Source organism: Homo sapiens, chromosome 1, assembly GCF_000001405.40.
Source record: "Homo sapiens chromosome 1, GRCh38.p14 Primary Assembly".
NCBI lineage: Eukaryota > Metazoa > Chordata > Mammalia > Primates > Hominidae > Homo > Homo sapiens.
Window position 1 is genome coordinate 61,442,237 of NC_000001.11, and position 20,775 is coordinate 61,463,011.

The window sequence follows — 20,775 nt, forward strand, 5'->3', positions numbered from 1 at the left end:
CCTCTTCATCCCACACCTTCCACATAGTTTGATCAAGCAAACACGCTTCCAAAGTTGGTGCCCTCTGTTTCTTAAAGAAAATTATAGGTGAATGAAACTACTATTTTACCAGAAGAATCAGTATAAATGAAATGAGATTAGATCTGAATCTACCTACCCACACATGAACAAGTATAAAACACTTTGAACTATCAACTATTAAATCAACTATCAAATTATTTTGTCTTCAAAACCATTAGGATCCACATGAATAAATTAAATCCTCAGGAAAATGTGCAAACCATTTTAAGTTTCAAATTTCTCCCATTCACCATTTTGTCAGAGTTGCTTAAAAAAAAAAAAAAGTAACATTAGCAGTTATGTTTAATAGGCTTCCTGTAGCAGCCCTTATTGGCAGGGGTCCAAAGGACAGTGGAAAATGAACCAAAGTTTGATAGATATTTATGAAAAAGAAAGAAGAAAAAATACACAAAAGAAAGAACACATGATTTTCAGTCATTTGGAATTGACTGACCAATGAGAAATTATCTCTTATGCAAATTATCTTCTTTCTGGAAATCAACCAATCAGTCCTGGCTAAAGGCTGAGAAACTTAAGATTGTAAGCCCAAATTCCACCCAATCACTGTAACTAAACTGCTGCTCCCAAAGAAACCAGTTTTATCATCCATTTCTGCAGAACGTCATCTAAATGGATTCCGCTTTCATTCATGTCCTTATCCAGTAAGAGGAAGCTTCTGATTTTTCCAGCAGAGGGTTTTATTTAGAAGCATATTCACATTTAATTTGGTTTTAGAAAACCCTTAATGTTTTTTAATATTGAGCTAGGTTGAGTTCAGGGGATTGAGAAAAAAGACTAAAAGCTTTGCATATAGCTAGCATGCTCGTGCTATTATTGAACATGCAAGAAAAGTGACGGCTCAATATTGCACTAGGTTAAGAAAAGGCCATGATCTAGCACATGAAGATGAGGTTTCTGTCTTCCGCCAGACAGAGAGGAATCCCCTTCCCCCACCCCAACAACTCCAAAGATAAAAAAGCATCAGTTACAGTCCTGTTAGGAGACAAAACACAAATATTAGTTCATTTCATCCTCACAAGCACCATGCTAGCTAGCAAGGTGGTCTTCATCCTTTCTTAGCAGAGGTGCAAACTGAGATCCAGATTCACCACACACTCCTAGTCCATCCACCCCCAGCCATGCAATTGCTTCTCTGAACCCCACCACCCCCACAGCAGTGCTTACTCTTGAACTATTTATCTGACGCATCACATGTCACTCTGCAGGGATGCAGCTGCTGAATCTGGGTACTGGGAATGCCACAACCTGCAGTTTTGCCAGGTATGCTCACCTATCAGGAAAGGACTGCTCCAGTATGAAAAGATGCTATAAAGTAACTCTTGAGCATTGCCCTGAGGTTACAGTTACTATTAGTATCATTGATTTATTACTGCTGTACCCACTTGCTTGCTGTTATAGATAAACTCCAATTCAGAGAGAAGTTGAGAAGGAGAGTCCTTGGTGCTCTTTCTCCTGTGCCCTTTCCATTTCTGCCCATGAAGATGATGGCTGCTTTCTCTGAACTCCTTGACCCTTGCTTAGCAACAAGATTGAGTCTTAATTTCAATAAGCCAGGAAATCAGCTCTCTCCAGATTGGTTCCCTGTGGGCATCTGAGAACCCCTTCAACTCTTCCTGCTTCTAAATGAAAAATAGCCATTTCTTCCTCTCTGATGCACCTTTATTGGCTGGAAAATCCCTGAGATCTTTTTGACCTCAAAAACCTCTTAGGTTTAGGATCTCTTTTGGGCTGGGTACATTTCTCTTCATAACTTAATCTTCAAGGCAGAAAAACCATTTAAGCAAACCCTTGTTTTAATATTTGAAGAGAATCAACGTGCATTGACCATTTCCACAGAAAGCTGAAACTCATTGCACAGAAATTTTAAGTCATGGCCATGAGATTCTAGAATCTACATCTAGAAGCCATTTTCAACTATAATGTTAACTAGAATGCCTTTTAGGGAAAATTAAGAAGCAAAGTTCTCCTGGCCCCTGCCCTGCCTTTCTCTCTGTCCTTCTTTGCCTCTGGAGTAGACCTGAGGAAATTTTTAATACTAACGAGAACTTGGTGCTGCGTAGCCTCTGAGTCTGAAATGCCTGAGAAAGCAGTCCAGATTCCAACTGTAAAACATTCCTTCACCAAGCCTTGGAAACTAACATACAGAGGCCGGCAGAGTTCAGAGGGAGCACATGTAAATGAGGCTCCGTTATAAACTCCTGAGGAGTGTTTTATTTAGTTTAAACCTGAACTTGAACTTGTAAACGGTGTTCCTTGAGAACAATACAGAAAGGTTGATGCAGTAGAACAGGAAGTCACATTTTAGCTCAGACATTTTACTCCTTTAAAAGAAGGAAACTATCTTAAAGTATTTCTTAATTGAACTGTCTTCTAGAATAGCACAAATTGGCATGTCTGCAAGATTTTTGGGATTGCAGAATCAGAATGGAAGTGTATATGTATATATATCATTTGAACTTACCACCATTCTTGCAAAATAAACAATAGAATTTCCTATCCATATGGCGATTTAACAAGAGGATATTTAAAGAGCCTGTCCACATATAACAGTCATGCCATCTGTAATTGATTTTATTAATTGATAATAAAGTGACAGTAGAGGTGTGGGACCGTTTCAAACTAGCACTGTGTGTGTGTATTGAGAGTTTGTTCCCAAATCTCAGTTGCTGGTAGAGCACTACCAAGTGGAATTTATCCGAAAACAAAGTGAGAATGATTTTGTACGCATGCTCAATTTTATAAAACACATTCTTGAATCAGTCTTCAATAATCTTTGCTTGCGAGATCTCCATCTCAGAAGTCACTACTAAAAAGGTAAAAAATAAATTAAATTGTCTGTGTTAGAATGATATTACCTCTCTCCAAGAAGCATAGATCCCTGACAGGGAAGCCAAGCAGCTCTGCCAATCACGTATGCTATGTACATGTCCAGGTTGTTGGTAAGGCCCTTCACGGAGACTGTCAATGCTATAGGATCTTCACCTTGCACAAATCCCAACCGCAGCCCCATCAAGAAGCCTCCCCCTCATATCCCCTGGAAATATTTGGGAGGAATCTAATTGTTTGTAGCAACGAATATTGCTTAGTTGTAAATTTAATCTACAAATTTAGAAGGAAATAAATCTGAACATAAAAAGCATTTGCTGTTTCAGCATTAAAAAAAAAATGCTATCATTTGAAACTGCAAACTCTCCCATGTGGGTTTGTTTTGCAAGTCACGTCTTAACAAAGACAAGTTTTGTTGCCATAAAACCCTAAATCCTACCACATCCTCAGAAGGAGGAGAAAAGTATTGTTCACTGGTTCCGGGTTTGGGCTTTCAGGATAACACAGAGCTATGACCGCGCACAGGGAAATTGTTTGGTATTTATCCAGAGTTGTTGGTTCAGGTGAAACCCTGACACACACATACCTCCCATCTAGATTATATCAGTGCCTCATGTAATTATGCTCCTTACATTTTAGGCCTGTGTCTGAAAGTCGTTTTGTATTTTTAACTTTATTTTTTCCCTCAAATGATGTGATAACTAGTATCCTGAGGCCTGTTTTGCAGAAAAGTTAAAGTTGGACCCCTGACTCCCTACAAACTAGGATTTAGATCTCTGACTCCATGATCTGACTTTTTCCATAGCCAAGCTCATTCTGACCTCAATGAAAGATAGGAACAGTTTTACCTCTCCCAATATCCCATCTACCCTGTGAACGATTAGAAAAAAAAAATGATTCCTGGCACCAGTGATATCTAAAAGCAGGTGTTCCTAGAAGGTAAAGAAAGGCATAGCAACAGGATCTTGTAGTATCCTTAGAGAGATCTGGTGAAGTTCAGGCCCCTCAGCAAGCCAGTGACTGAACTGGGACTTGAACCAGGCCACCAGACCCGCAGTCCAGTGCTTAACTATCTTTTCTCATGAATCTGAAAACGCAGATGCCACAGTTTCCTTTGCATTCTCTCCAAATGCTGCCTGTATGTCTTGTTTCTTTGGCTCACAACAGAAGCCTTCCAGGGGTTGTGGTTTGCAGCTCAAGGCCTTCTTCACTTCATCTTAATCCTTAGGGACTGTTGGTCTGCATGGCCTGGGAGAGAGTAGGGGTCTGTCATGATTCCTGCACAGGGATTAAACACAGGTGGAGAGGGAGGGAGACACTAACTTGAGGGGTGGGAGGAGATAGAGAATGGAACTAGAAAGACCAGGAACAGTGGACAGGGGAGAATTAAAGAGGTAACGAGCAGACCTGTGCCAGGGCTTGAGCGTGGAAGTGCCTGCTGGGGTGGAGAAGTCCAAAGGTGGCAGATGCTATCCAGTGTCTGAAGGGCTTCTTGGCTGGAAAGGTTGGTTTGGGAATTCATTTCTGGCAAAAGGCCAGATCTTCTGGCATACTGTTGCAGGATGTATCTGGGAGAATTTTTGAAATAACTGGACTTTTTACTTCAATGTTATTTTCTCTCTTACTGGACTTTATCTTCCTGCACAATCCACACTAAGGTCTCCTTGATTGATTGGCTCTCAACCTGAGTCATGTTTGGGAAGAGCAAGAGCGAGGAGGCACGGAGTAGAATGATTATTACAATGTGGCCACGCTCTGCTGAGCTCCGGCCTCCACTCCCACGCCTCTCTTTTTAAACAAGAAAGGTTACCTCCCTGGGCCACCATTGGGCCAACCCCAAGTGTTTCTGTCTGCACTTGTTAGACAACAGGCATTTAATTAAAATTGGAATCCGATGTGTAGAAAACATACATTTTTTCATTTCATAGCTCCCCAGGAAGTCATATTCCCTTCCTTCCCCACTCTCCTCAACTCTCCCCCTGCCAAAAAAATTTAAAAAAAAATTGTGAAGGAAAAGATTATTTTAATGTGAAAATCAAAAATTACAAAGGGCTAGGCTGCTTCTTCATTTTTTGCCTTTGGGGGAGACATTAGCCAATCATAAAGCCTGTATTGTGTCTTCAGACCAGGAGCCAGCTTTTTTATGGCTAACTTCCCATATGGAAAAGGGTTTGTCCCATTTCAGGGCATTAAAATACAGCCTTTAATGAATTTGTAACTTAAATCTTTTATCTTGCTCTTATGCGATAGAAAGTGTGGCCTGTCTTCTGATATTTGTTGGACTTTGTGGAATCAACAAATACAAAGAAACAGATAATAAACATGAGGCCCAAGTTGAAAAATAAAGCCGCGAAACCCCGTCGCCACTGCATTTTCCGCAGCAGAGCCATCCACTGCACTGTCTGGGCTCCACCCAGAAAATCCGGCAGTGCCATCATGACCAAATAGATAGGAACTCTGGACAATTTCATCGGGTCATTGTCCCCTTAATCTCCACGCTGCACCTCAGATCTCAAGCAGCTTCCGTGGCGCAGGCTCAATTTAATGGATAGAATCTATTTTTCATGAAAAAGCAGGAAATAAGCTGTCTCTTTCATAAAAAGATTTACAAAATGTAATCATTGTTGAAATATTCCCTTTGAACTGCCGTGTCCACGGGGGTCTCCGGCTCCCAGAGTCGTGCTTCATTAGAACCCCGTCATAAGCGGCTCCAGAAGGGCAGGTACGCTGGTGGTGCCCGGCTTTGATGTCTTGAATGAATGAAAGAAAAGCACAATAAAAAAGAGCTGTTGATCAAGCATAAAATACTCTTTAAGCTGACAGAATAGCAGCGTTAACACACCCTAAGCTGCTTTTAGTTTTTCCCTTTTTTCCTCACATTTTCCTGTGCTTTGTGTACAGTGGGGGTTTGTATTTTATAAGAAGTCTCTGATCTATGTAGTATGCCATTCGCTAACAAAAACCAAAATAGGATTGTTTCTGTCCCACTTGGTTGCCTGACTACCCCCTCCCTTCCTCCCCTTTTCTCCTCACCCCCAACCTCCAAGGCGTGCAGTTTAGCCTTGCAAGGCAAGGGCCCAAATGCCTTTCATAAACTTGAGCCAATTCCTTTTGTGTTGTGGGTTTCACCGCTCTGATTTTAATATCGCAATTAAAGACAGATTTTTATTTTCTCAAGAACTTTCTCTTGCAACTGGGGAAATGGAATTGACGCAGCTGCTACTTTTAACTAAGAAATTATATCATTAAATAAGAGAAAGCCGCCTTGTAGAGTGATTTGCTTTCCTGGGGACGTTGGGTCTCACGTGGACCCTAAGGCCCCAGAAACCGTTCACAGTGAGAGAACCCAGCTACCCCTGGCTTTCTGGCTTTCTGTAGTAGCCCCTAGCCAGGCATTTAATCCCCACAAAAACTGATACAGTTGTTACCTCCATTTCATGGAGTCTAAAACTGAGACCTAGTGATGCTAACTTGCCTAAGATTATCTAACTAGTTCATAATGGTGCCAGGATTTTTGTCATTCGGACCCCAGAGTCCTGGCTCTTACGGCTATGCACACAGCTCTCTAGTAGGATCTTGGAGCAAATGCGGTGGGCCGGAGTGCAGTTTTTAATCCAGCAGTCTTTGATTTCATGAGGTAAAAGGTTACGTGATGAAAAATGGAAAGGAAGGGAGACCAAAAGAAAAATGTACTTGGTGGTAAGAGAGACACTAGGGCAAGCTGGAATCTCGTGAAAGATTCAGACTTTGGATGAACAGTCAGAATAATTGGATTGTGTATGCACTCTCAAGGTTTGGAGGTACTGGATGGCTTATTGGGTAAAAAGATTAGTGTTTTCCCGTCTTGAGGTCTGAACCAAACGGAGGTCTTGGCTGGGAGCAGCACAGTCATTCTCCAGGGATTGGTGGTTTGGACAACTTCTCTGAGCTTGTAGTAAGTAGGCAGCAGTCCATGTTACAAAACTATTGCACATGCTACTGACGCAGTTGGCCGCAACTGGCCCCGCTGCAACAACTCTCCCGTCGGAACTGCCTGGAGTGGCTTGTGGAGACTTGTGTCCCTCGAGGGAGAGTGTCTGTCATTTGGGGAGACATGGTCATGTGGCACGAGCATGCTAGAAGTCATCCATCCAGATGCCTTGCTTTGCCCTCATTGGGGTGACTGACACCAGGCTTTGGTAACCTCGGATACAGCTTGTTCTTCCTTCCCTCCTTTATTTATTTAACAGTATTTATTACATGCCCACCCTGGCATCCCTTAGATAGCCAGCTTGCCTGGGATGAAAACAGGTAATTAAAGTTTAGCAACTGTGACAGAGGAGAATCCTGAGGGTAAAGGCCCCAAGAAAGACCCCTCTGAAGAAGGGACATCTAATCTTAGAACCCAAGGACTAGTAAGCATTAGCAAAGCCAAGGAGTGGGACAGCCTGTGCCCAGGCCTGGCAGGGAGAAAGCATTTGGCTTTGGGGGATCCGGAAGAAGTTTAAGGCAACAAAAGTGTTGAGGACAAGTGGTGAAAAGATAAGGCCACAAAGGTGCCGGGGCCAATCCCGGCCCATTACGGTTTTAATAGTTTTCTGTACAATAAACAAGTCTTGGTTCGGAGTTACTGAAAACAGACTTTCTTTAATTAAGAAAATAAAATCAGGCAAGAAAAATGATTACAGAGATCAAAGCCCAAGGCTGGCAGTACCAGTAACTAACACCTGTGTACAGCATGACACCCTTTTCAGAAGAAACCAGTGTAAATCACTGCTGCCTCTCATGAATACAGACTGGTCCTCACAAGACTCTGAGGGTCCCAGGACAGGGACTGGCTTGCTTGAAGTCACACTGCTGGTCAGTGGAAAAAGTGACACCAATCCTGAGTCCTTTGGACACTGGATACTGGGCATCGTTCATTGCCAGAAGTTTATAAAATCCTATTGGGAGAAAAGCAGGCTATCTGGTATCATGAAGGGTCTAGAATCTAGCCACTGCTTCCTGATAGACAAGAAAGTCCTACAGGGCAGGGACTATATTTTACTCATTATATCCCCAGAGCCAGCATACATAGCACCTAGCACATAGAAGGCCCTTAGTGCTTGTTGGATGAGTGAATAAATGCTCCCAAATGGTTTATGCGAATGTGAGAAACTCAGAGTCCACTGAGAGACCTCATCCATTTCTATCATATTGAGATGGGCAGAAGAGACTACTGGGCTTTTGGCTGATTTGCCAAGGACAACTCATTTGGGCTAAACAGTAGGCTTTAGTCCATCCACAGAAGTGCGGGAAGCCAAAAATGACCCACTGGAGTAGTGTGAAGTAGTAGTGCAAAGCTAACACCTCCCCAAGAGAGAATGCACAACAGCGACAGCAGCTCCTGGAGTCTTGGCTTATTGGTTGGCTGAGTCCTCTTTGGGGGCTGATGAGGAGCTGGGCCTGCAGGGTGCGGGGAGGCCAGCCTGTGTTTGCACATTTCCGTTTTATGTGTGTGAATGTCCTCAAATAACCCACCTTGCCTGCAGAAGAAAGCCAAGTGTCACACCCAGTTCTGGATTCCACATTAACAACCTCCTTCCGCAGTGTTAAACTTTGCCCTTGTTGAGGCCTTTTGTTTAAGTTTTTAATCTGAAAAACAGATTCTGCTGCATCACAGTCCACTCTGCCCTCTGCCCCTGCCACCCCAGCACTCTCTGCTCCTTTTAGGGGTTAAAGTAAAATACAAAATACAAAAAATGTTTCTCAGACATTTTTCTTTTTCCTCTAGAATGTGCATCCTGCCCTCTTAGTAAAAAGAGGATGTAAAAAGCCTTTTAAAAAGTTGTTGCACACATTAGAGCATTTGTTGCTAACGCAGGGGTTGAGGCCATGGCCCGCATCAGCTGTGTCTTCAGCAGCCCCATGACCACATTTTGGAAGACGGCCCCTGTGTTCTGATTGCTCTCTGTGAGGCGTACGAAATGGAAGAGATTGGCACCGTCAGAGGTACCTTCTGCCATTTCAGGCTTCCTGTTTAGGATGCAGTCGGATAGATATTGTTTATGGTTCATAAAACCTGACTACTGTGAGTATTCCAGAATCCCAGCGGAATGGGATTCGAACTTTCATGGAGCTGTAAATTAACGGGCGGCAAGTGTGATAAAACTCCTTAGAGAACTGTGAGGGGAAAAAGTCGTGCTGCAATGGTTAAATGAAATTTTATAAGCACATTCAGTGTGGAGCTGTTTTGCATTACATGAGTTGAATACCTTAGAGACGCCACATCTGCAGGCACTTTATTAAATCCTTAGTCAGCACTTTTCCAACCTGATGAGATTACTTCTTCATTTGACTGGAGAAAAGGAAAGCTGAGCTCTTGTCCTGGACTGCAGATTTCTTTTGATGTTTCACCTTGAACATTGAAAGAGGACAGTCACCCCACTTCCCTCCCCACTCCCGCTCAGCACATCCCAAACTCTAGACATTGTGAATGTTACCGACTAATTTTACGTAACTGGAGCCTTGGTGGGAGTGTGGATTTGTGGACCTCCACAACAACTATAGCTGAAAGTTTCTGAGGAAAAAATAGATCAAAGCTCTGTGTTTACTTAATGTAAATGTATCAAGATAACATCATCCTATATTGCATTGTAATAATGCCACTCACTGCACATAGGGAGGGAGATTCCTTTGTAGTCCATTTGGATACAGTAGGGTAGATTAAGGGGCTATAAAGTACGAAGGCAGAAAGCATATGAAACCTAAGCTTATGTCACTAAATGTCTGAGGATAGTTTTTGTTTAATGTGTTACCATTTTCCCAGTGATTTGCTGCTCAACCCCAACGATCGAATAAGCTCAGATTTCTTTTATGTTTTTCCTATATGACCCAAGAAGAAAATATGCAGAATCATTCTTCAATTAATGTTCTAAAACTTGTACTGCTTGCATAATAGAAATTATAAGAAAATATCACAAGAGAAAAGTAGGCTTTTACAAACATTATATTGTCCATCTGGTGTTACTAGCAGCTCATGGAAGTTTCTAGGAATTGACTGGCTTACACATGTGTGACTGTCACACTCATCCCAATGGGATTATGAGTGTCTTTACAAACTGATTAGGAGAAAATTCAGGGAGATGTATGAATTATTATTATTATTATTATTATTATTAGAACTATCTGCCATCTCTGCAAATAAATGATTTAATCAGAGACTTCAAAAAAGAAAAATTCCCTGTGTGGTTCCCCTAACCAACTTCCTGTTCTGGAAAACCTTGGTCAAGTAGCTGGGTTAATTGTCATGAAGATTAGTGTGATGTTGAAATAAGTACTAATGGTCAAATTATAGGAGTGAACAAGTTTAAGAATAGGTTTTGGTTTGGGCCTGAAAGGGTTAATTAAGGTTTTTTCACGGGTTATTAAAGACCCCCAACCTCTGCCTTCAGGAGTCATATTGACACCCCACCACAGGGCAGCTCAGCCCCTCTGTTGACATGTTGCTGGTCAGAGCACAATAGCCTTCTGTGTCTGCAAATCATTGCTAAAATCATCTCAAGGAAAAAAAAGTTTGAAAGCTTTAACGTTAGACAAAAGCCCAAGAGTTGCAGCGTGCAGCCCAAAAACCTGGAGTCAGCAACTTCTATTGATTAAAAACTAACCTTTAAAGTAACTCTGAGAGTGTGTGGTTAGCATTTAAATTTAAACATGTCATGAGTTGATTTGTGTTACTGAATACCAACTCAGAAGGAGTAACATTCACATCGCATTTTTTTTTTCTAATTCCCTTAAGCAGCTAAAGTATTTCATGAAATGTCAATAGGGCAAAAAGAAAAAGAGGTGGGGGGCTGATGCTGGGCCTTGTAGTTTTCTTTCCCATGCAAATATCCACCCCCCAAAAGAAAAGTGTGCAGAGTGAAACACAATAATTAGTCCTTTGTCTAACTTTCCCAAGTGCCAGAGAAAGACAGATTAATTAAATATACAACAATGTTGGTTTTTGGAGTGGGGGTCTTGCTTGCTGTGTAGGTCATAAATTAGGCAGAATAAATACTTCAATGTGTTTGCAGTGGGCCTGCTACGTCAGAACCACTGGAAGGTTGGTGGGAGGAGAGCAGAGGGTTTCTTGCTAATGATAGTCACGTCTGGGTCTGTCTGGTTGCTCTTAGCAACCAGACATGATGTAACACCAGGATGAACTTGAACTTGGGGGACTTGAAAAGAGAACAATAGACCAGAGCAATCAATAAAGCCTATTTCAGTGAAGGATTACAGAGCTGCTCTGGGGTAACCTTGTCGGCAAGGCACATACTGAATAGTAAGATGTGTGAAGAAACTTTTTTTTTTTTTTTTTTTTTTTTGCTTTGCTTTTTAAGAGAAGTGCAGAGGCACTGCAGATTTTTGTAGTGCCCTGAGGTCTCGTCCAGAAACTGTGGTGTGGAGAACTGCTCCCCCTGCTGACTCACTGGGTGCCAGGCCTTTGCTTCAAGAACTACCTTAGTGTCAGATTGAAGAAGTCTGGAATTTCACAACCGACTTAGAAAGTGTGAAAACAGAAATAGTAAGCATTATTCCCCGCACCCAAAGTTTGAACCTGTTTTGTAGAAGGGAGGAAGCGGCTCTAACGTGGATGAGAGTCAGCTGTTAGGTAGAGGCCTACTAGAAACACAGTTTGGGGTTTGCTTTCTCTCTCCTTTCTCTCCCCCTCTTCTTTCTTTTGTCCAGCTAGATTTAGGCCATGTGTATTTGCCAGGCTGATTTCCTTTCAGGACACAAGAGGCTTTATTGTGTTCCTCAAAGCATGTGGTCAAAGAATAACATCTGAAAGTCTACAGGATGCGTAGTTTTTCGGTCTGGGCTTAAGTTTTTTAAACTCCTCTGGAAATCAAAGGTGGCTTGTGTGACTAGGAAATCTTATACCAAACTCCATGTAGCTATCACTTAGCCATTCATCCCTGGGGACCAAATGAGTCCTTACATTACCTAATGGAATCTCTTCCACAGGGATGATCCTTCACCTGCCTGAAGCAACCCAATTAGAACCCTTTCTGATACCGTCAACTTAAAGAATTCAGAAGCATTGGTTTTTGTTAGGCCTTGGTAATTTTTCTGTAAATAATGATAAATGTAGTGAATTTGTCAAGGTATCTCTAGAGAAAAGTCGGCAAAAGCCACATACTTTTTTATTTCACTGGAGAAACTAACTCTGATGTTAGTCCATAATTGCTCATTCTGTCTAGCTAACAGAAAAAGAAATGCCAGCAGATAAAGTGATATATGACCAGACAATTGCTCAAAGCTAACCACCTAAGGATTTACGAAAGGAAAAGGTAACCAGTAACTGGGCCTGGCAGGCACACAGAAGGCTCTAAATAAATGCTGCATGGACGCAAGCATGAATGAAGGGTACGCAGTGGCCTCATTTTTCCTTTGGACAATGTGGTACTTAATAGAGTAAAATCTTGATCCTACTTAGTTATTATGTTTCATGTTTGAAAATACCATTTTAGATATATTGGGCTGAAAGGAGCATCTTCCCTCATAAAATCCTACATATGTAAGGAAGGAAAAATACTGTGACTTGCTCAAAATCACCCAGGAAGACTGGGTCCAGCACTTTTTCCACCTTACCTCCACTTATTCTTGTGTCGCTATTGACCATCTGGGCCTGTTAGGAGAGTGTCACAATCATGGCTTCAGTGCCTGCACCTCATTTGAAAGGAGATGTTGAAAATCATCAGAGTAGCCATTCATTGCCACATGAAACCCCTCCCTTTACCCATTCTCCATTCATTCAACTCTTCTTCATTAAGAACGTTCTGTATTCCAGGCACTGGGCTAGGCACTGAGGATTGAATGATAAACAAGATGGTCAAGTTTCCTGCCCTCCTATAACTGCCCCCATCAGTTAACAAAACCCTTATTTGTATTTCAAGTGAACAGAAATACCTCATTCTGTAAGATATACTCAGAATGTTGGAAAACCCCAATGAAGACAATGAATTATAATTTCAGAAGAATAAGATCAGTTTCAGTGTCACAGGATTTTTTATTGTCTGTCGTGCCTTTACTTTTCCCAGCGAATCCCTCCCGCATCCCTAACGTAGATCCTGATTTCGTGGTTGAAAAGGCAACTTCTAAAACACACGTTTTTACAAATTGTGATTTTAATTGTATTTTTCCTTTTGTCTTCCAGTCCTGGTACCTGGGATAAAAGTTGCAGCGTCCCACCATCCACCAGACAGACCACCTGACCCCTTCTCAACTCTGTAACATGGACGCAACCTCAACCCAGCGCAGTTACAACTTCACTATCAGCGGAAGGGGAGAAAAACCGATTCAAATCAACTTGTACATGGAAACAGCAAGCATTATGGTCAAACAGCAAAGGCCATAACCTTTTGGGATTTTTTTTTTTTTAAAATACTTTAGGGACTGTTGTAATTTCTCATATGGTGCTGGAAATGGTTGGGCTTTGTAACATTTGAAGTGTTTCCATGGTAGCGTGAGCATTAGGTGACGTGGCTAGCGGAGGACTACCCTTGCTCACTGACTTCCTGTTGTAACACACTTTCCTTACGGAGCCTGGCTGTTTCACAGTATTTCATGAATTTACCCACACAGGTGTGATCCTCCTTGAGCATTGAGGAGGCACATGGAGAACTAAATCTTTTGTAGTAGCTGAGATCTGCAATATATAACGGGACAGTCAAAGGGCAATGTTTTTCTGTAACATATTGGAAAAAGAAAATGCAGTTATATTCCTTTTTTATTTGTTCCTTTAGTTTGTTTTGGTTCAGCAGTCAGCAGTTAAGTATATAACATGGCCCGCAAGGACAATGAATCCACTCACATTGCAGAACAATTCCGAAAATGGCAAACTACTACTACTACTGTTCAGTTTTTTAAAAGTTTTGAAATGCTGCACTTACATTTAAAAAAACAACAACAACATTTTTTCAACAATTTCAACAATGACACAAAAATTCACATGGAAATGGGGAAGATGGTCTGTTTTGACAGAAACTGACAGGAATCAATCAAAACAATCGAATTTTGAATTGAGTAAAGTGCAATTTCATTGGATAGCTAAATATCTTTGTAAGATAGAGATTGTTGAAAATTCTATTTTTGTTTTTCTAGTCCTTTCACCCCAGGACTCTAAATTATTGGGGTAAAAAACAGCCTTGCAAGAAAAAGGGGAGCTATTTTTGCTTTTTATGTTTTTTATTGTTAAACTTGTATCCCTTTAAAAACTGAAGGAAATTAAAAAAAAAAAACAAAAAAACAAATCTAATGGTGCTTTTACCACAATATGTTAACTACATTAAATGCTAATTAATTATTTTCTGTTATCAAAGCACATGACTAAAATGAAATCATGGTATCTGTTAATTTTATAAGCTAGAAGTCACTATAATGGATTACGCCAATTCTAAAAAATTTTACACCTATCTGGCATCATAGGATTTATCAGTTATCAGACACCTCATTGTACCAGAGATTGTCCAGAAGTTTTAAAGACCTTTGCATCCCTGAACTGGGCTATGGGAAATAATAATAGTAATAATAATAATAATAATAATGATGAAACCAATACTGACACAAATGCTGGTGCCCATTCAGATCAAGGGTACTTGTTAGGGAAAAAAAAAAAAGTTTGCACCCCCAAACGTCCTGTATCTTATGAAAAAAAAAACAAAAAACAAAAACAAAAAAAAAACACAAAAAACCACAGAAACAAAAACAAAAAAAAGTGCAAGTGATTTTTCTACCAGACAGCGAAGCACCCCTTTGCTTCCCATGCGACTTCAAGAAGGTTTCCTATACTATACATATATATACGTTCTGGTTGGCAAGCCCTGCTGATCAGAGAAAGTCTCTGCATGTTCTAGTGTTAGTAACTAATTTTTATATAGTTAATGTAGGATAAAGTAGAGTGCATTAAGACACAATATTGTAATCCCTACTCTAGGCACTTGCCTTTAAACTATGTTTTTCAGCCCTTCAGAAGGGTTCTACTACTGTCCTATACAATCAAGTAACTGAAATTCTTGGGAAGACACTTTGCTCCTCATCTTTCTCCCCGAAACAATGTTGTTTTGTTTTGTTTTTTTTCCTTAATTTGCACGAAAACAAAAATTCCATATCAATGTGCCTTGCCCTGGATAGCGATTATTTGTGGAATTGTTGCACATGCTCCTCTATTGAAAGGGGTTTTTCCCTAGTCAAGCATTTGGAGACACTTTTTGTAAATGTGACTTTTATGTCAGCCATCGTCAGTTTCAACATCTAGAACTAAATAGAAAGCTAGTTGTTCCGCAGATAGGAGTAGTCTTTATTGTCCTGTACGGTCGGTGGCAGTGCTATTCTGAGATCTGTAGATGCTTAGAATATCAGTATTTTGGATGTTGCTGCATTTTACAATTTATTTGGAGTCTTCCTTTATTTTCCCCCAGATATATGAAAATATGCAATACCTGCTTATATCATGTAGAAAAGCTTAGCAATTATTAATTTTTCTTTTATTTTTTTTTATTTGACCAAAGTCGGTGCTGCACTTGACGCAGTGTGTTTTAGGTGTTTGTCTTTGTACTTTTTTGTGATTTTTGAATGCACGTGCGCAGGAAGGGCTCCTCTTAGAGAAGCAGTCAAACTGTGAAGCACTAAGCTGACCCTGCTTCAAGCAATTTTGTTTTTACAACTGTTCCTTTCACAAGCAAGCCTTAAAAAAAAAAAAGACAACTTCCTTTTTCTTCAGCTCCCACACCCCATTTTTCTTAGCAGACTGCAGTCAATCCACATTCAATAAAAAGTATATAATGCCCATTTTTATATGCACGTTTTTAAACTTCCAAGTTCTGAAAATTGTTTACTGGTTATCTCTATTTAAGGAAAAAAAAATAAAATAAAACATTTTGGATTTTCATATGTGTCTGATAAGTGGTTGAATAGTCGTTTGGCGCTGTTGTATGGTGTGATTGTCAGTGTATGGTGTCACTTCCTATAGCCAGCCAGCATACTTTGCCTTCCCCTATAGCACTTAGCTGGGCATTACTTTATTATGACATATGTGCACTAAAAAATGAAAAAAAGGAAAAAAAGAAAAAAAAAAAGAAAAAATAGCAGCTTTCAGTGCTTCACAGTGAAGGGAAAAAAGCCTAGACAAACATTTTGTCAGAACCTTGCAATAAGCCAAGGTATTACCAGTAAATTGGTTGTATATACAATAAAATTGCACCCTTTTTTAAACAAAACAAACTAAGCAATAGTTTGGGCAGTTTTAGTTGTTTTTAGTGAGCATGTTGTAGTCATGACTGCAAAGAGAGAGAATAAACTGCCCGCTCAGAAGATATGTAATTTGTATTGTTGTATAGTTTTATTGATTACACTGATTTATTCTACCCTATTTTATAATGCAGGACTTTTGTAATGTTGTTTAAATGAGGAAAAATTTCTGTCAAATTAGCCTAGTAAAATTTCTGATCGTTCATTATAAAGGCAGCGTTCATAGAATTGCTTTTCTTTCTTTTTACCCCCCCTTTGGGAACTGGATTTAAGTTTAAAACTTTCCTGTTTCCTTTTTTTTTTTTTTTTTGTAAGTATTTAAATACAATTATTTTTTTCTCTCAATGGTATAGCATATTCCTATGCTTGAGAAGTATAGGTCTACTGAAAAACCATTGTAAATGGACGTTACAGGTATGCTGTATTTTTGAAGGTATTTTGTTGTATTAAGTTTGATGAAGCTAAAATTAGGGAACTCTGAACAGATTTGCAGGAAAAAATGTTTTAAAGGCTTTAAAACATTAGGGAGGCAGTCTAGGGTGATAACGAACAGGGGTTAAGTATTAAATACACGAAGTTACATTTTTGTTCATGTTTCATTGTCCAGAAAGCAGCAGGAAACTATTCAGTTGTGATCAAGCAGGAAAAAAGAAACACCAACAGTTGCCAGTGTTTTTGCTTTTTAGCTTAAAAGCATAGTGAAGATGCTTGAGGAAGACTTTGCTACCTGGGGTGTGTAGACAGACAGACTGAGAGCTATCAGCATTTGAAGGCCCAGCCCTTGACTCTGAGACACATTTGAATTTTTTCTTTCCCATCAAATGGCATTAACAAGATTGGGCAAAGATGAGTCCCTCAAATTTCTGTGTTTTTTGTTTGTTTGTTTGTTTGTTTTTTCTTTGGGAACTGAAGTCAGAGGCACGAACACTAACTCTTAGCATTTTTCTGTAGACTTTTTCTTCTGGCCCTTGTCCCTGCCAGCAAAACGCCCCTTTTCTGATCATTCGTGCGCAGAGGGCCTCCCAGTAATGCCACGCTCTCCATGCTAGAGAGCCTTCTCTTTCCTCTGAGGTTTGAACTGATGTTCTGTGTCTTCACACCCTGGCATGACAGTTACGTGTGGTCAGCCCGCTCCCCAGGCCCGTCCCTGCCGCCGCCAGGTGTGGGCTCTAGGCAGGCCGACAAGGTTACACCTCCCAGAGCTTGTGATCTTCATTTTCTGACAGTCAAAGTGTGAAGGAACCCAGACTTCCCCGAGCCACGGTGTTCAGTCAGCCCACAGGAATATGCAAGACCCATCTCCAAAAGTTTGTCTTTGATTTTTTCCAAGCCCTTAGCCCCATAAGCTTTGAATCCTGTAGTTACAGTGGCATAAAGGACTGACAAAACCTGGATAAGGAAAAACCTTTTTTTTCTATGAATTTTTTTTGTTTTTTAGGGGAAAGGGATTCTAAGAATGTCATTTAATGTACTTTGCATCATGTCTCTAGAAATATCTTTGTCCATAGTGGTGGTGGAGTCTCTCTCTCTCTCTCTCTTTTTGTTTGCTTCTGTTTTCTTTCTTGTCTTCATTCTTTCTTTTCTTTTTTATTTCTGGTAGCAGGCCTCCATAGAACAAATCTAAAACACAACCACCATAGTAATGTAAGGAGAGCTTCAGTGGCACCTCAAAACCCACCCTTCGAGATCTGTCCAAAGACAGTCTCAGAAAGCTGCACTGCCCACCGGCTCAGCTTTCATTCAAAAAGGCTTCCAAGGCCAATTCTGTCTTGAAGTCAATGCATGTATTTACTGTTTGACAGTAAACCCGCTCTGCCTTCTCCACGTCCAAGGCTGTGCATTCGTCTAATTAGCGTCGTGTATGTTTTCCTTTTATTTTTTCCAATAAAAAAGCAGTGGGATGAAAATTGCTTTGATATATAGCAGGTAACATTGAAGCTATTCCATAGCACTTAACTGTAGTGAATACTGTGTCACCAATTTTGAAATCAATTTAATGTTTAATGCAAATCCATTACATGGTGCTATTATAGGCTGACAAAATGATTTACACAAATGTGACAACTTGGGCTCAATTCACTCTGCTTTCCAACAGTGTAAATGCATAGCAGTGTTTATCTGCATGAGAACTATGCACTAATCTATCTGAAGAAAAAAACTATATCAACTTTGGTATCTACTTTCCGTTTACTTCAATCCTTGCCTTTTTGGTCATTGTTATAATGCCAGCTTTAGGACAGAAAGAATTATAAGAAAACCAGCATAATACCTGATATATTAAAATGTAGTGCCTGTGAAATCTGTATTATATTGCTCTTCTGAAGTAAGATTTTTCTACACCGGTAGCCTTCGCTGTCTGTCAGTCAGGACCTTCTGGTATAGGTGATGTAAAATAACCGTACAATATTAATGCATGCGATTCCATAATGCTTAGTGAACTGTATGAATATTACTCAAAGTTATGTTAGTCTTTTTTTCCGACTTGGTTCTTGTCAGCTAGGTTTAAAGGTATTTCACTGAGAACGCAAATTCTGTCTTTTCTTGATTTCGGCTGTTTTCAGTATTTTGGAGGTATACATTTACTTAAATTCAGTATTACTCGTGTTTTGTTTTTGTTTTTGTTTTTTGTTTTCTTTTTCCTAGGGGACAAGCATGGGTGTTTGATTTCAGAAATCAGTACCTGGCGAGATTTTTGTCTCAAAACGACTATTTGAATTTCAAGAACTGTGCTGCGAAGACACTCTGAGAACATTTGCAAGTCAGGGGCATTTTCCTTGACCCTTGACTGATGCTATGCGGAGACTGATACATTTTCTTAATGGACAATGTTCAAGCCAGGTACCCATGCTTGATCTGTCTTCACACCAGACCTCCTCATATTAAAAGGAAAAATAAGAAAAAAAATGTAAGAAATCACATGGCTATTTAGTTTCATGCACAGTTGCAATATTTTCTTCAAAAATAAAACTCTGTACAAACTTTGGGCCCGATTCATAAGAAAAAGAAGTTTGCTATTAACACGGGATTTTTTTAATATACTTTTTTTGGTCTAAATTTGAAATTACTTGCTTCCCAAATTAAATAAATTTCATCTCATTTTTTTCCCTAAACCAGCACCCATCTGCCTTTTATTCCCCAAAGAGTTACCTTTCCCAGATTAGGGGGATGGTATGTGGGGAGCAGATAGCGGAAATGCTTAGAAAGATAAGGGGGACCACCCACAGCTGGTCGTGAGAACAGGGAGACAGTGTGTGGGGGTGGGACCTCATCTGTGTGCCTGGTATCCTGAGTTTTACATGTAGATGCATTCGCCTATTTGATTCAGAAAAATAAACTTTCCCAAAATGTGTCTGAACCACAAGAGCATACAGTGGAAGTGCTACCTCTAATCTAACCAGAGCACCTTCATGGTGGAAGACACCCACCAGGTCATACAATGTGAACTTTTGTATCTCTGCAGTGGTTTCAAGGACAAATAGTGTCCAATGTATTGGGCCATTTTTCCTGCTGTTTTTATACTCAACTTCTCAAAATGAAAAAAGCTTTTATTTTTCCTTTGACTTATTTGTGTTGTTCTTATTTTTTAAATTTTTATTTTTTGATAATAGTCTGTAAGTTAGCCTTTTTGGGTTTTTTTTTTTTTTTTTTGGCTTTTTTTTTTGTTTGTTTTTTTTTCTTTTGACATTGCAACCGAAGGTCATAAGGCCGCTAGCTCCGCTGGGACAGAGGCTTGAGAGAACTAACGGCTCGGTGCCTTCTCCCTGGTCTCAGACCATCGTCTCTGCACTGCGAAGGCATTTGGTAGCCTCGCCACTGAGATACTAACTAGACCTAGACTAGGAGCTTTATCAGGTTCTAGGAGGTCCTTTAGGAAGACTCTCAAAGGCAAATCCCTGATCCCCCGCCCCACCCTTAGCCCTGCCCTCTCACCAGAGCAAAATTCACTGGGGACTTTTCCCACCACACATGGAAATCTGTCCACTCGGAATACCTCTGTTTTCCATTTCAAATTGTAGGGGGAGGGGATGGAACACTTCCAGTGATGGTAAGAGATCTGTTATGAAACGAAACACCCCCCGTGTTAATAACTTGGTCTGAAATCTGTTTTTATGAGCCGGGCCCCCTGTGCCTCTAGTATACTTGTATTGACTCTCATAGTTACCCTTTTAGTTTTACTGTGTTCTGTGAAAATTTGTAATTGGTTGAGAATCACTGTGGGCGTCCATTCTTATTCAACTAAATCTCCACAGGTTTTTTGAGCTGGTGTGGATTAGTTTAACTCTTGTATTCAACCATTAGTGCTACCACCTTCTCACATTACAATACAATTACTGGAAGCAAGTACTGCATTTCCTATGCAACAAAAAAGGAAAAATAAAAAATTGCTAATGCTATGGAAGCTGTGTCATCATTTGCTTTACAGCATGCCTGGGTGATTGAGTGACAGTCACGGGTGTGGACTGGAGGCTCCCACAGAAGATGGTCTTTATGCACCATGGGGTTTGTCAGGCACATAGCATCCTTGGCTGTGTTCTGATGGGCAGTGTTACTTTTTTCACCTACTTGGACAAATACAGGATTTGACACTCACATAGTGTTTACTGTGTGCCTGATATT

At 40.3% G+C, this 20,775-nt stretch overlaps 1 protein-coding gene across 4 annotated transcripts in view, besides 1 other annotated feature; it reads left to right on the forward strand.

Annotated features, from left to right (window-relative positions):
• NFIA (nuclear factor I A) overlaps positions 1–20,552 on the forward strand; it is a 385,562-nt gene extending 365,010 nt beyond the window's left edge. For all 4 annotated transcript variants that reach the window (NM_001145511.2, NM_001145512.2, NM_001134673.4 and 1 more), the window contains one exon: positions 13,067–20,552. In NM_001145511.2, coding sequence (NP_001138983.1) covers positions 13,067–13,084 — 18 coding nt within the window. In that variant the 3' untranslated portion in view covers positions 13,085–20,552. The remainder of the gene's footprint in view (positions 1–13,066) is intronic.
• Positions 9,887–12,282: an enhancer, noted in NCBI's record as "VISTA enhancer hs1309". NCBI's record gives its function as "enhancer in: midbrain (mesencephalon)[7/7] | forebrain[7/7] | limb[5/7] | nose[5/7] | heart[5/7]" and the evidence as "EXISTENCE:transgenic organism evidence [ECO:0001131][PMID:17130149]".